This window comes from Homo sapiens, chromosome 4 (assembly GCF_000001405.40).
Source record: "Homo sapiens chromosome 4, GRCh38.p14 Primary Assembly".
In the NCBI taxonomy this organism is placed as follows: Eukaryota; Metazoa; Chordata; class Mammalia; order Primates; family Hominidae; genus Homo; species Homo sapiens.
This window is the reverse complement of record NC_000004.12, coordinates 77,985,829-78,001,859: the sequence shown is the minus strand read 5'-3', so window position 1 is coordinate 78,001,859 and position 16,031 is coordinate 77,985,829. Positions and strand designations below refer to the sequence as shown.

General features: G+C 39.6%; 1 pseudogene; it reads left to right on the top strand.

The window, feature by feature from the left end:
• On the top strand, positions 12,986–14,351 carry HNRNPA1P56 (heterogeneous nuclear ribonucleoprotein A1 pseudogene 56; annotated as a pseudogene).

Sequence of the window (16,031 nt, the reverse complement as noted above, 5' to 3'; positions counted from 1 at the left end):
ATCTCCCTTGGCAAAAGAAAAAAAAAAGTTAAAATGTGCTTTCTTAATAGGCAAAGCAGGAGATGTATATTTCTTCAAATAGCTTAAAAAGGGAAGTCCATATTTATTAAGTGAAAAGAACAAGTGCAATCATGTTAGCTTGAAAGGGGAAGAAGTGATTACATGATATAATTGGACTGCTGGACAGGAACAAATACGGGACTTTTCCATGAGTTATTTATTTTGGTCTTTTATTTAAAGCAGCCCTTATTTTTAGATTGTTGATTAACAGACAAATTAGAAGCTCAGCAAATTTCTTAGTGGACAATTTTAACTTTCCAAAAATGTCCTTGTATTTCTGCTACCCTCTTTAAAAATGAAACCTATCCCTCTTCAGGACACTGGTCCCAAGACAGATCATCTAGAAATACCCAAATACCTCCAAGTAGATCAGAACTAATTCAACTATTTCTAGAAAAAAAACAAAGTCTGTGCTTCATATTGGATGCCCGCAATATATTCTCCCTGCTCTTCTAGATTACTTACTTTCTATTTATCAAAATTAGTCAGCTAAGTTAGTTATTTTCTATCCATCAAAATTAGTTAACCAGCTACCTCGGAACCTATCACCCAGAATATTCCTTCTTTTCCTAGACATTGTTTGTGTTCATAAATCATATTGTGAAGCTAACAAGAATGAATTAGGAGGGAAAAAATGGGAAATAGGGTTTTAGGAGAGATGGGATTTCTCTAAGTTGGCCAAGCTGGTCTCAAACTCCTGACTTCAAGTGATCTGCCCACCTCAGTGCTGGGATTAGAGGCATGAACCACACCACCTGGCAATATTTTAATTTTTTTGTAGAGATGGGGTCTTACTGTGTTGCCCAGGATGATCTTGAACTCCTGGGCTCAAGCAATCTTCCTGCCTCGGTCTTCCAAAGTGCTGGGATTGCAGGCATCAGCCACTGCACCTGGCCCAGCCAGTGGGTTTGCTGTTGTTGCTGTTGTTGTTGTTTGTGTTTTGAGACAGAGTCTCACTCTGTTGCCCAGGCTGGAGTACAGAAGTGAGATCTCAGCTCACTGCAACCTCCACCTCCCAGGTTCAAGCAATTCTCCTGCCTCAGCCTCCCAAGTAGCTGGGACTACTGGTGTGCACCACCACACCTGGCTAACTTTGTTATTTTAAATAGAGATGGGGTTTCGCCACATTGGCCAGGGTGGTCTCGAACTCCTGAACTCAAGTGATCCACCCCCCACCTCGGCCTCCCAAAATGCTGGGATTACAGACATGAGCCGCCACTCATGTAGTTTTAACAATGCCTTGTACATTAACTTTGACTGTCAAGACAAGAATTGAGCTCACAGAGAAATTAATGCTTAGATGGGACCTGAATAGGGTGAGAAAGAAAGGCAAAGAAGCCCACTAAAAGTCAAACTTGGCGACTGCATATGAACCCGAATGTGAAAAGTCAGAGTAAGTGGGAAAGGCCTCAGCCAGACCACCACAGGTTCCTGGGACCAAAGGCAAGAATGATATATGGCCTCACTTTCTGATGGTTCATTGCCATTTCACCTCCCACCACCCACACATCCATTTTTTTAGATAAGAATGTACAGTTGACCCTTGAACAACACAGGTTTGAACTGTGTGCGTCCACTTATAGGCAGATCTTCTGCCTCTGCTGCTACCCCTGAGACAGCAAGACCAATCCCTCCTCTTCATTCTTCTTCTCAGCCTACTCAACATGAAGATGATGAGGATGAAGACCTTTATGATGATCCACTTTCACTAAACAAATAGTAAATATATTTTCTCTTCCTTATGATTTTCTTTTCTCTAGCTTACTTTATTGTTAAAATACAGTATATAATGCCTATAACAGAAAATGTGTTCTAAATGACTGGTTATGTTATTGGTAAGGCTTCAGGTCAATAGTAGGCTATTAGTAGTTAGGTTTTGGTGGAGTCAAAAGTTATATGTGGATTTTTGACTGTGCATGGAGTCAGCTCCCCTAACCTTTCATTGTTCAAGGGTCAACTGTACAATATATACATATTTAGGATTTCTCTTACCTTCAGTAGGTTTGGCTGTGGTCCCAGTGAACTATGTCTGCTGCTGAATACAGGGGTTTAGGATAGGACCTAGTCTAAGCCAATCTATGTGTTCCATCCCTTGATCACAATAATTAGTTAGGCCAATCAGTACCAATAATCCTAAGATCTAGGACCTCTCTTTGAGTTTTTCAAGGAAGAGTACCGTCCCTTCTGTTGGACTAAGAGACATGGGGTAACCAGGAACTATGAATGGAGCCAATGCATTAGAATAGAGCTCAGAGATGAAGACAAACAGAAGGTAAGTTCTGATAGCATTGTTTGAGCCTCAAATCCTGCCCTAAATGAGTCCCTGGATTTTTCAGTTCATGGGTCAATGAATTCCCCTTCTTTAATGAAACCAATTTAAGTTGGGTCTTCCATCACTGGCAATAGAAAGAGTCCAAACTGATATACGTTTCATTTACACAAATGCCTTTGTGTAATGTTTTCATATTTTCAATCATTTCTATTGGGAGATAACTTGCAGAATCTGTTGAACTAGACATTGTTAGATATATATCTAGGACAAATGGAAGTAATAATGTACTTTGTAAAATATGAAACTATGAAACATTATTTTGTTGCACCAGAGCATTATTACAATCAGAACTCCTTCATAGACACATGATTGACCACCATTAGGACCACAAGTGAATTCAACCAATCTGAGATCAGCAATGTCCAGACTTGTCACATGCAGAGAGCTGTTTATTTATGTAAGCAATCAGAATTTAGTAATTAAACTGAGTAGTAGATGATGTTTCACTTTATAAGCAATATAAATCAATTTAGAAGTGAATTGCCAGAGATTAGGGACTAACAATAAAATAATAAAGTTATGCTAAAAAAAGTTTGAGTGGAAAAAAAATGGCATTTGATTTAGGTCATGAAAAAAACATAGTCTTCTATTGTCTTTATATTTGACTTTCTGTTTTAAGTCTTGATCGTTTTAATGGCACTACTGATGGATGGGAAGGGAAATGAATATTTATTTCTAAGTGTCTGTTATCAGTTAGGAAGCTTTCTGCAGCATAAACACAACTAAAACTGGCTCAGAGGGCCGGGCCGGGCCGGTGGCTCATGCCTATAATCCCAGCACTTTGGGAGGCCGAGGCGGGTGGATCACTTGAGGTCAGGAGTTCGAGACCCACCTGGCCAACATGGTGAAACCCCCTTTCTACTAAAAAACAACAACAACAGCAACAACAAAAATTAGCCAGGCGTGGCGGTGGGCACCTGTAATCCCAGCTACTCAGGAGGCTGCAGCAGGAGAATTGCTTGAACCTGAGAGGCGGAGGTTGCAGTGAGCCGAGATTGCGCCACTGCACTCCGACCTGGGCAACAAAAGCAAAGCTCCAGCTTGGGAAAAAAAAAAAAAAAAAAACCTGGCTCAGAGAATAAGGGAGTTTACTGAATCACATAACTAGAAAGACTAGAGAGCAAACTTTAGGGTTAGTTTGGGCCAAAGGTTTATAATATTATCATCAGGGTCATTGCTCCTTTTTTAAAAATGTTCAGTTCCCGTGGTTGTGCTCTCCTTCTTGCACTGGCTTTTTATTTAGGCTGGTTTTCCATATGGTAGCAAGGTGGCTACCCGCAGCTCCTAGGGCTAAATGCTTTCTCATTTGCACTGGGGGCAAGAAGGGGTTCCTTTCCTTCCAACCATAAAACCAAATTCTTAAGCTTCCCACTGACTGGACTTTCTCACCTCTGAAAAAAATTAGTATGGCTAAGGAAGTCACAGTAATTTTAGACCTGGGAAATGAGCCCATCTAAACCAATAACAGCCAGGCCTAGACTAGTGAGAATCCACCTCTAGAGTTAGGGGAGAACAGCCACATGGTTTCTACCCAAAGTAAGAGGGTAAAATGGATGTTGTGTGTGCAACCACAGTATTTTTTACTCTTATGTGCCAGACTGAAGCTAAACAACAGGATGGATTCACTGAGCAGTCTCCTTGGCTGCCAATCTATACAGTTTTCGCTGGAAAAGTACCTTGATGAAGAAAGTTATTCAGGGATGGCTCATGTGAGGGTTGTGTTCCTTAAGCGTTGCATAATTCCAGCCTAATTTTCCCACATGGAAAATTTTCCTAAATGGAAACTAGGGAAGGATGGATTCTCATAGCACATACATCTACTGTAATTTTTGTCTATTTTCACTTTAATAGTTGTTTTATGTTTTTTCCAAGATTATTTCTAATATTTCATAGCATGCTTTCTTCAAAATGTACAACCCAGTGTGTCAGGGTGTTTGGTCTTATTTTAGCATGTCTAGCTTCTATTCCAAAGATACTGATTTTCAGGACCATTTTCTCAGCAGCATCATTTGGACCACCTTCAAACGAATGCTCACATGGTGTTACTACTGGATACTAAAAATACTTTAAATTGTAATAGCAGTGATTTTTTAAATGAAGGCAAAAATAGTTACAGTTACAAAGTGCACAATTTTGGTGCCCTGGGTCATTTACCCTAAGCCCATTTCTCATCTCCAGTGGCAGTGGACAGTATGACATAATAAAAAAATACACATCTGATCTCTGCCTCCGGTTCCTATCACAGAGCTCCTGAAAGTAATTTCCTGAACAATAGTTTTGTTAAGTGAATATCTTTTCTCTAATATTTGGTCCTTGACCCTGCTTTCTAACACAGAGCTCTTAATACCTTGGAATTTTCTGGGTGGTGGGAATGTGTTTTGTTCTAATGAGGCAAACGTTGGTGGGCTCCTGGGTGGAGGCTGGTCATCAGAAAGACCAAACCAGAATTAGAAGCTTGAATCTTTCAACCTCAACCCCCATCCTCTGGGCAGGAAACAGGCGCTAGAAACTGAGTTAATAACCAATCATCCCTACATATTAAAGCCTGCATAAAAATCTCTAAACTACAGGATTTGGGGAGCTTCAGGGTAGGTGACCATGTGGAGGTCCTGGGAGGGTGGTGTGCCCGCAGCGGGCATAGAAGCTCCGTACTCCTTCTCCATCCCTTGCCCTATGCATCCCTTCCATCTGATTGTTCCTGAGTTGTGTCTTCTATAATCAACCAGTAATCTAGGAAGTAAACTTTTTTCCTGTGTTTTGTGTGCTAGTCTAGCAAACGATTCACCTAGGGAGGGGTTGTGGAGAGCCTGATTTATAGTTGGCTGGTCAGAACCATGAGTGACAACCTGGACTTGGGATTGGCATCTGAATTGGGAGCAATTTTGTGGGATTAAATCCTTGACCTGTGAAATCTGATGCTAACTCTGGTTAGTGTCCGAACTGTAGGAGCTGATGCTAAGTCTGATGAGTGTCCGAATTGAATTGAATGCTAGGATACCTGGTTGGTGTCTGCAGAGAATTGGAGAACTACTTGGCGTGGGAAACTTTACACACAGGCACACACACACACACACACACACACAGTATCAGAAGTGAAGTATTGAGAGTGCAAATAAAGAGAAAAACAGTGAGTTTTTTCTACACAGACAGTCTCACATCAAACATTACCATGGGTCTTTTCATTTTCTGCCCCGGGGCCTTCTTTGAAATCTGAAGCCACAGGTACCACTTGGCCCATAGGCAAACAAAGCCAGGAAGTGTAGTAGGTGTTCGATCAATACATGCTGAATGATTGAATGGTAGAATATAACAGATTACCATTAAACTGCCTTGTCAGTAGATGAGCACAGCAAGGAGCACATATATTTGGAACCTGAATTACTTGGGACATAACAGTACTGTCCAGTAGAGCTTTCTGCATATCAGTGCTGTGTAATACAATAACCACTACCCACAGGTGGCTATTTAGCACTTGAAATGTAGCTGGTATGAGTAGCTGGTAAATAACCAATTTTTAAATTGAATTTTGTTTTAATCAATTTGTAGTTAAAGAGCCAAGTGTGTCTAATGGCTACCATTTTAGATAGCATAGGATAGGACATGCCAACTGCTGTCACAAAAGTCCTCTTACTCCTTGCCACACTTAGCCTAAAAAGTATTTATTTAGTAACGGTTTGTGGGTGCACAAAATTATTAGCCTACCTGGGAAACCCGCATGGCTTGGAGCAGCCCCAAAATTATACTGCAAGCCTTTTTTTCTTCTCAAAGTCAAGGTCTAGCAAAAACAGGCAGGTGGAATCAAAAAGTTGTTCCTTGTATGGAACTCCTTGGCTTGTGTTTATGATGAGGTTTGAGCACAGACTTTCACTGCTGTGTTTCTCTGTGTTGGCGCAGACAGGTAGAGGAGAACGTAACTTAGAAATGCATGTCACAGTTTAAATCCAGCCCATTCAGATTCATCTACATTTAAATAAGAAAAAAAGTGCTGCTTTTAAACAACCATTCATGTCTAGGAAAACATCTTTGAATCCTCTAATTTATTATTTGAAAAAGTCCCTTTCACTAGGAAGAAAAAGAAATATATGTTTTATGTAATTGTCAGTGTGCAGGTTGCAAAGACTGAACCTCTGGTTTCAAAGAAGTTTCTAAACTTGGTAAGCCCTGCTTCCCATCACTAAAATAAAAAATGCTTTATGTGCACACACCTTGTTCTGTATGGTTTAACAGATAGGTCACAGGCGGGCGTCAGGTGCTCAGGGGTTCTATTCTCAGCTCTCTCACTGACTCAGCCTTTGACCTCAGAAAAGCTGGGTTAGATTTAGACCAAAGGCTCCACAGAGCACAGTTGGAATGTGTGCATCCTGTGGGTTTTGCTCCTTTTCTGGAAACTCACAGCAGCACTTTAGATTCTGCTTTGATGGAACGGGTCAGGGTACAGCCATACACCATCTTGACCAGTTCCCCAGGCTTTCCAGGGACTACCTTCCCCTTTCTTCTCTTCCACATTCCTCTCTCTCCCCACGCTACTTTTCCATGATGACTGTGGCATCATTTTAGATCTTGGGGTCACAGATAAATGCAGGCAGGTGAGCCTCATATATACTCTTATTACTTAAACCTGCTTGAAGCAGTTGAGCACATTGGTGGGTTGGTTTGTTTGTTTGTTTGTTCGAAGCAGAGGATTTGATCCCTGCACAACTGCAGTTGCCCCAAGAGCACAATGACACTTTATGTTCCAGACCCAAATAGTCAGTTTCACTGCACTCCCCACAGTCCCTCATACCTAGATTCCAACTTGCATCTGTGTATCAAGGCTTCCTCTCCTGGGACCCCTTGTGGATGAAATCTGCTATAGGTTCCAAGCTTGCAGGTTTAGTTGTTATAGCTCTTTAGAGGTCCTAGGGAACTGAAAAAAAAAGCAAAGGCCAGTGTGGCTGACAGCTACTGGGGAGATTCTGCCATCCTTGTGCAGTCCAAGAACAACATGATACCTCAAGCTGATTTCCAAGGGCACATTTTTTAGATTTAGATTTTATGACTATGGCTTTTACTCTGGGTGAAATGAGTTGCTACTGGAGGATTTTGAGCAGAGGAATGACAGATTAGACTTAACTTTTAAAGGCTCCCTCTGGCTGCTGGATTTGGATCTCTGAATATTACTCAACCCTGCATTTTCCATTGCTGTGTTCCTGGCAATAAACTTTATGCTTGCTCTGCCTGCTGGGTTCACTTCCTCTCCCTCACAACCTACAACAGGCTCTGCTCTTCTATCTCTGCTTCTAGACTCGACCTTAGTCAGGGAGGCAGCTCTACCTCCTGACCCAAGCATCACTCTTCTGGCCATGCTGCTGCAGTGAACAGAACCAATGTAGCTGATTCCTTATCATCAACAATGTGTTAATACTTTATCATCTGAAATCAGTATTGAGCTCTGTATTTATTGAACTTGGCATGGAATTTTCACCTTTTTCTTAGAGATCCCCAGGTCGGGATGACCCAAATCTGTAAGTGCTCCCTCTCCCACACTGGCACCTTGATCCCTGCTGATCTTGTTGTCTCTCCTTCTCACCTTTAAATTTGTTGCTTCGTAAGGATGTTCCCGCACTTTTCTGTATGTGAACCACTGCCTTTTCATTATCACTTATTTAAAACAAAAAGCTGAGCTAATTTATAATTGAAAATTAACTGTTTTTGATAAAATTATGGAGAACCTGGACAATACAGATTGGCTTAAATAGGAAAAATACTTGCAAATATCTATAACCCTACTAATACAAATATATTTTCTAAAATTATATGCATATATATGTATAGTTTGTTTTACAAAATTACACTATATACCTATAGTTGCATTCTACTCTTTTCACCTTATAGTATATAATGAGCATTTTCCAATCTTGCTAAATGATTTTTAGTAGCTGCATAGTACAGTGTGGCTGTATCATTATGTAATCTCCTACTTAACTAATTTGACTGTTTCCAGGTTTTTGATATTATAACCATGTTATTGCAAACGTTGTATATGTGAATTTCTGAATAGCTCTCTGACAATTTTATTCAATTAAATTCCCAGAAGTAGAATTATTGGGTCAGGCCAGGTGCGGTGGCTTACACCTGTAATCCTAGCACTTTGGGAGACCGAGGTGGGTGGATCACTTGAGGTCAAGAGTTCAAGACCAGCCTGGCCAATATGGTGAAACCCCATCTCTACTAAAAATACAAAAGTTACCCAGGTGCAGTGGCGGGCACTTGTAGTTCCAGCTACTCAGGAGGCTGACGCAGGAGAATCGCTTGAACCTGGGAGGTGGAGGTTGCAATGAGCTGGGATCACGCCACTGCACTCCAGCCTGAGCAACAGAGCAAGACTCTGTCTCAAAAAAAAAAAAGAATTATTGGGTCAGAGGGTAAAAACATATTAAAGGCAGCCTGAGACTCTCTAAATAAAGACTTCAAATCCTGATGGCAGTGAAAAGAGTCACAAGAGCATGGTCCAGTCCCCTCATGATGCCTGACCATGGGCAAGATATAAAGTTGGGGTGGATTCTAGAAGCCTATGTGTAAGCAAGGGGTTTAATAATTTAAACTGATTTCTAAAGACCTGCACCTGCCAGAGCATATTAACCAGTGTTGATGAAGTAGCTTCAGCTATCAGGAACAGCAGATGGGTAAAGACATCTGGCTTCACACCACTGCTGCCTTCAGTTGTTAAGAACTTGAGTTCTTTCAAATGAGCAATGGGCATCAGGCGAAAATGTAATCATCTTCACTCTTTCTCTCAGTCCATGCAGTGAGACACCAATTGACCTTTGCTCTGATTGCTAATTAAATTCTGAGATTATACTAAGTCTGAAGAGCAGCTACTCAATGGAAATGAGAAACCTGCAAAACATTAGTACTATTTAGATTGGGAATAGGTGGGAACAGCAAATTGCTCAGGTACTTGCAATATTAGCAAATCAAGGAGAGTAGGATTTTATGTAGACTCATAACAGCAGAGAACCACAGGGTAATTTTTTTTCTTGAATTTTGTGCAACAATCAGCCTCTGAACAATTACTCTCCTACTACTGTATATTGATTCGCAAAATATACTTGTGGTATAAATCAAAATACTTGCCTCTTTTGCAGATAAGGCAAGGCAGACAAACAGATTATTTTATTTGTCTCAAATCACTTATTTAGGCTAAATTCATTTCCTTCAACTTTTATTTGAATGCCTCCTATGAGCCAGGCATTGTGCTGTGTTACAGACTTACAAAGATCATGAAGACAGGATCTCTGACCTTGAGGAAGGCGAAGCATAATCATGGAAGCAAAAATTCTGATAATGTGTTTGAGTATACTTAGGGAAGAATAAAAGATGCAATATATTGAGAAGGAAGTAAACTAAACCAAGCCTGAAGTTAACATTTGTTTAGGCAAAAACTACAAATGCACCAGGAATCTGATATCTGGAAAAATGACATAAATGTGGCTAACACATAAATTCATTCTCCACTATAGAACCCTAGAGATCAGATGCATTTACACCCAAATCAAAATTTGTAAAGATTAATAACTACTCTTTAGATCTTTTTCCAATGCAATAATTGCTCTTCATAAAAGCTCACTGTAAGCAATTTCCATATCAATTAAAAATCAGTGCCTTTGTTTGCATAACTGTAGAATGCCACGTTATACACGATGCTGGCTCAAGAAAGATTCAAATAAGCAGATCTGTTTACAATTACAAATGCTAATTAAGGGAAATAGTCAACCCTAGATAATTCAGTGATAGACTACAGAGTTTGGGGATTATTTAGACACTTTTATTTTTCTCCTCTCCCTCTAATGGATGGGCTTTCCCCATTTGCTACTTACTAGTACTCTCTCGGACCTGTAGAGAGGCAGAAAGTTGAGGTCCAACATCAGTTTTGCAACTCCATAGCAGTTCTGATGAAAGAGTTTGGTAGGAAACAATATTGAATAACATATAATAGTATAAATAATGTCTGGAAATTTTCGAGGAATTCTAATGGTCTTTGATACTTCCAAGCCTTTTAACTCAAAGAATGAAAAATGAGCTATCACTGTTATTAAATATGCATAAGTTCAAGCTTTCCAAATTTTTAAGTGTCTAATCACCGTTTAAACATAAGCTGCTTGTCTTATATTTTTAGAGACATTCAGACAGTCCACGGCCCATGCTTCACTTTAGAAAATTGAATGAATGTCACTGTAACAGGACATGTCCATGCAGTAATGGTCTCCCTGCTGCTAGATAACATCTGAAGCAAATCCACTGATGAGAAACAAATGGGGAAGCAAAGCAGAGTGTATTTCCAGAGCCAGAAACACTGACCCTTTCAAGGCACTCAATCATTCTGACTTTGTTTCTATTTATCAGGAAGTGAGTGTTGAAGAATGAATCATGTTAGTTCAATAGATGCTGGCAGGATCAATAGATACTTTTGCATCATACTCTCACTTGATGCTTGCTGCCAGAGAGGCTGCCTTATAAAGCAGAACCATGGCCAGAACAGCACTCCTGCCACTGAGAAGCAGTCTGCTCTGGCTGGATCAACTATTTTACATTCTAGATCAACTTTTATTCATATTCATTTCTGATCTTATCTCTGGTTATAGAAACAAGGCTCAGCAATTTAGGATCACCTAGCCAGCAGAATCAGCTGTCACTATACTAGTAGGAGAGTTTCATATATAAGCTGACACTCTACTCCTTCAAAGGAATGATTCCTATTGTGCTTTATCAAAGAGTGAGTGACTCTGTTTATGCATTAATTGCCAGGACTTAATGCACTGTGACTCAAGTGTTCATCTCTGCCCCATTGAGTCATTGACTTCATGCTGATTGGAGGTCCATCCAAGAAAACTAAATTATTGCTTCACTATCATTTTGTTAAGTAAAATTTGGAGTGTATTCTTCCAGTTCCCACTTCATTTACTTTGCAATCTTAGTAAAAAGGAAGGAAATGCATTTCCTTTTCCCCTACATTGTTGAGCTCTGGCTTTAGAATAGACCTACAGCCTTGGAACATAACTTCATATATCTCAAACATACACCTACAACCTTGTCATATAACTTCAAATATCTCAAACACACAAAGCACAAACACTCCCCAAATCTTGGGGGTTGAGGAGAGAGAAAGACTTCAAAAGAAGTACTTACAGCAAACATTTATGTTTAGCTGGCTCACTAGGTGTTCCTATTTCCTTTCTCCATGCCACTTTCTACTGTGCAGTCAGTATTTACCTTGTTCAGCCTCCTTGAAGCCAGATGTGGCCATGTGACACAGCAGCAGCCAATGAGCTCTAAAGGGAAGTGTACTGGGGGTTTCTGGGGAGGCTTTTGATTTCCTCATAAAATGGACAGACATGGCTGTCATAGCTCCCTTTCCTCTTCTTCCTGCCTTGCACTTGAGTCTAGTACCTGGAGCTGCAGTAGCCTTTTTGTGAGCATGCAGTGACAAACTGACACTGAAGAATGGCTGAGTGGGAGAAGTTTGATCTTTTAATAACATTCTTGAGTCCCTGCACCAGCCATGGACTATCTATGGTCTATGAGAAAAAAATGAACCACAATTTGCTACCTACCTTCATGGAGCTCACAGTCTAGCAGGAGAGATAAACTGTAACAAAGTTTACCTCAGTGGATACAATAAGACACACTGCAATAAATTCTAATATTAGGTAAGCAGATGATACAATGAGAGTTCATAGGAGTAGCAGCTTATTCAGACTTTTGCATTGAGGGAAGATTTCCTGGAAGAATTGAGACCTAAATAGGAGTTCACTTGGCAAAATATTTGGGGAAGATAATTCTAAGCAGAAAGCAACATGTACAAAGGCCTAGAAGAGAGAAGGCATGATATCTTTGGGAAACAACCATAAAGATATCAGTATGTATGGAGCTTAGAATGGAGTTGAATGAGATAAAGTTCAAGAGGTAAGTACAGCTTATTATCATGGGTCTTGAAAGCTTATACAATGCAAAATCATTCAAGGACCTTCAACAGTGAAGTGATAGAATCAAACATGCCACACTGGCTGCAGCTGGGGAGAATGAAGTGGAAGGGGAGAGTCTGCAGGCAAGGAAACCAGTCAGAGCTGTGCTGTCCAATATCATAGCCACCAGCCACATGTGGCTACTGAGCTCTTCAAGTGTGGCTGGTATGAATTGAGATGATTTAAAGTGGAAAATGCACATTGGATGTCAAAGACTTAGTGTAAAAATAACAATGTAAAATATATCATTCATTTATATATATCCATAATTGTACAGTGATTACATGTTGCAATGTATTTTGCATATATTGGGTTTTGCATATATTGCATATATTGGGTTATTTTGCATATATTGGGTTAAATAAAATATATTTTAAAAACTAATTTTATCTCTTATATTTATGTTTTTTAATGTGGCTATTAGAAAATTTCAAATTACATACATGGTTTGTGTTGTGACTGACATTATATTTCTATTGAATGATGGGTTACTTTGGCAATCTATGTAAGATGATAAAGGCTTTAGTTAAGTTAAATGCAATTTGAGTGAAGTGGACTTACTTGAGGGCTATAAAGAATGAGGATAGTGCCTTTCTGCCCATAGATGCCACTGAAGAAGCATCGTTAAATTCTCTCTTCTCCCTGCTGTTATGTCTAAGTCAGAGTCTCCTAAAGAACCCAAAGAGCTAGGGAAGCTCTTCTTTGAAGGGCTGAGCTTTGAAACAACCGATAAGAGCCTGAGGAGCCATTTTGAGCAATGGGGAACACCCACGGACTGTGTGGTAATGAGAGATTCAAACACCAAGCACTCCGGGGGCTTTGGGTTCATCACATATGCCACTGTGGAGGAGGTGGATGTGGCCAAGAATGCAAAGCCACGCAATGTGGATGGAAGACTTGTGGAACCAAACAGAGCTGTCTCAAGAGAAGATTCTCAAAGACCAGGTGCCCACTTAAAAAGATATTTGTTGGTGGCATTAAAGAAGACACTGAAGAATATCACCTAAGAGATTATTTTGAATAGTATGGGAAAATTGAAGTGATTGAAATCATGACTGACTGAGGCAGTGGCAAGAAAAGGGGCTTTGCCTTTGTAACCTTTGACAACCATGACTCCGTGGATAAGATTGTCATTCAGAAATACCACACTGTGAATGACCACAACTGTGAAGCTAGGAAAGCCCTGTCAAAGCAAGAGATGGCTAGTGCTTCCTCCAGCCAGAGGTTGAAGTGGATCTGGAAACTTTGGTGGTGGTCGTGGAGGTGGTTTTGGTGGGAATGACAACTTTGGTCATGGAGGAAAGTTCAGTGGTCATGGTGGCTTTGGTGGCAGCCATGGTGGTGGTGGATATGGTGGCAGTGGCTATGGCTATAATGGATTTGGCAATGATGGAAGCAATTTTGGAGGTGGTGGAAGCTATGATGATTTTGGCAATTACAACAATCAGTCTTCAAATTTTGGACCCATGAAGGGAGGAAACTTTGGAGGCAGAAGCTCTGGCCACTGTGGTGGTGGAGGCCAATACTTTGCCCAACCAGGAAACCAAGGTGGCTATGGAAGTTCCAGTAGCAGCAGTAGCTATGGCAGTGGCAGAAGATTTTAATTGGGAAACAAAGCTTAGCAGGAGAGGAGAGCCAGAGAAGTGATAGGGAAGCTACAGGTTACAACAGATTTGTGAACTCAGCCAAGCACGGTGGTGGCAGGGCCTAGCTGCTACAAAGAAGACATGTTTTAGACAAATACTCATGTGTGTGGGCAAAAGACTCAGGGATTGTATTTGTGACTAATTGTATAATGGGTTATTTTAGTTTCTGTTCTGTGGAAAGTATAAAGCATTCCAACAAAAGGTTTTAATGTAAATTTGTTTTTCACCCATGCTGTTGATTGCTAAATGTAATAGTCTGATCGTGACACTGAATAAATGTCTTTTAAAAAAAAGAATGAGTATAGTTAGGTTATGTTGATGGTTGCATGAGAAGAGAGAGTGAGTAAAAAGAGTAAGGATGGCTCCCAGGTGTCTGGGTTGGGCAGTTGAGTGGAGGATATCGGTGATCTCCAATAATAAAACAAGAAAGCAGCAGGAGGAGCGGGTTTGAGAGGAAGCTATTGAGCTCAGTTTTGGATAATTGAGTTTGAAGTCCTCAATACTCATATTAAAAAATTGGATAAGCAGGTATGCATATGTATCTAAAGCTCAGGAGACAGAGTTGGTGAATTTACATATACAGACATCATCAGACTGCAAGTGGTATTTAAAGCCTTTAGTACAATTGAGAGTACCCAGAGAGAGTATGCTGTAGTGGAAGAGGACTGAAGAACAACCATAATAAATATATAGACTTCATAGCTATTAAGCAAATACCAACATTTACTCTAAGGTAGTGTTTTCCATATTGTGTTTTCCAGAACACTAGTCTTACAAGATATTCCTAAGAAGAAATCTTTCTGTGACTGAGAAGAATATTGCCCACTAGAGATTACAATACACACTAACATATTCACATAGTTACAGTTCTGAGAAGTCCTATAGTGAAGAAACCTCTTTAACCAAGCATTTAAAAAATCATATATAACTACAGAAATCTTTCTTCTCCTCCAATAATACTGGTTAATTTCTTAGGAAATATACTCAAGGAACACACTTTGAGAAGTGTTTTTTCTATGGTAATCCAATTCGTTAGTGGGGCAAAAATCAAATAGAATTATATTAAATATATGGCCTTTAGGGCAGATTTATAAAGAAATGACTTTGTTATTTCTGTCAAATAGATATATTTTCCATGTCTAGTTTCCTCTATGCAAGCTTAAGCATATTTTGGGGCATTTCAGTGCTTTCTAGAATTTTAAATGATTGGATTAAAATAAATAGCTGATTTTCTATGAATAACTTACTAAGAATGCCAAAGAACTATTGTAAGTTCATAACAATAAATAATTCTTGTTTTAAGTTTGAATACAGGGTATCTAATGGTCTAAGAAAAGATTATCTCATGGAAACAAAGTTTGAAGGCCAAAAATAATTTTTCCTAGGCATCTATTAAAATTTAGAAGAGTCACAAAGTTAGGTGGGTTTTTTGTTTTTTATAAACTGCTTATTCAGTTGAAAAATGTACAAGCTACCATAATTTACATTACTTATGGTGTCTTTGGTGTGTTGATTCAAAAAGTGAGTTAGGTGATAACACACCTTATAAGACGCAGCAGATGGCATAATAATTTCCCTTGCTTAGCAACTAATACGTTATCCGCTATGGGCAATGTCTAGATTTCTATGCTAATGTAGAGTACTAGAGCATTTAACAATAGTAAGCCCCAAATCCTACAGTCAAGAGACCAGGTATAAGAGGCAGGTGTTACAAAATAGTAATGGGCCATATCTAAACAAAATGATTCAGACTAAAATTTTAAGATTTCTTTAGATTTAAGGTATCTTGAAATGCCATAGTTCTTAAAGCCACTTTAGAACCTGAGTCACGTTATCAGTTTGTACTTACACAGTCTATTTTACAGAAGAGGTTAAATAAATTGGATCTTACTTTTCCTCAGAAAATTTCCACATGCTAGATGAGGAGTTATGGGAGAAAGGATGACATAATGGGAAAAGCACTGGACAACAAATATCTGCTTCTCGAAC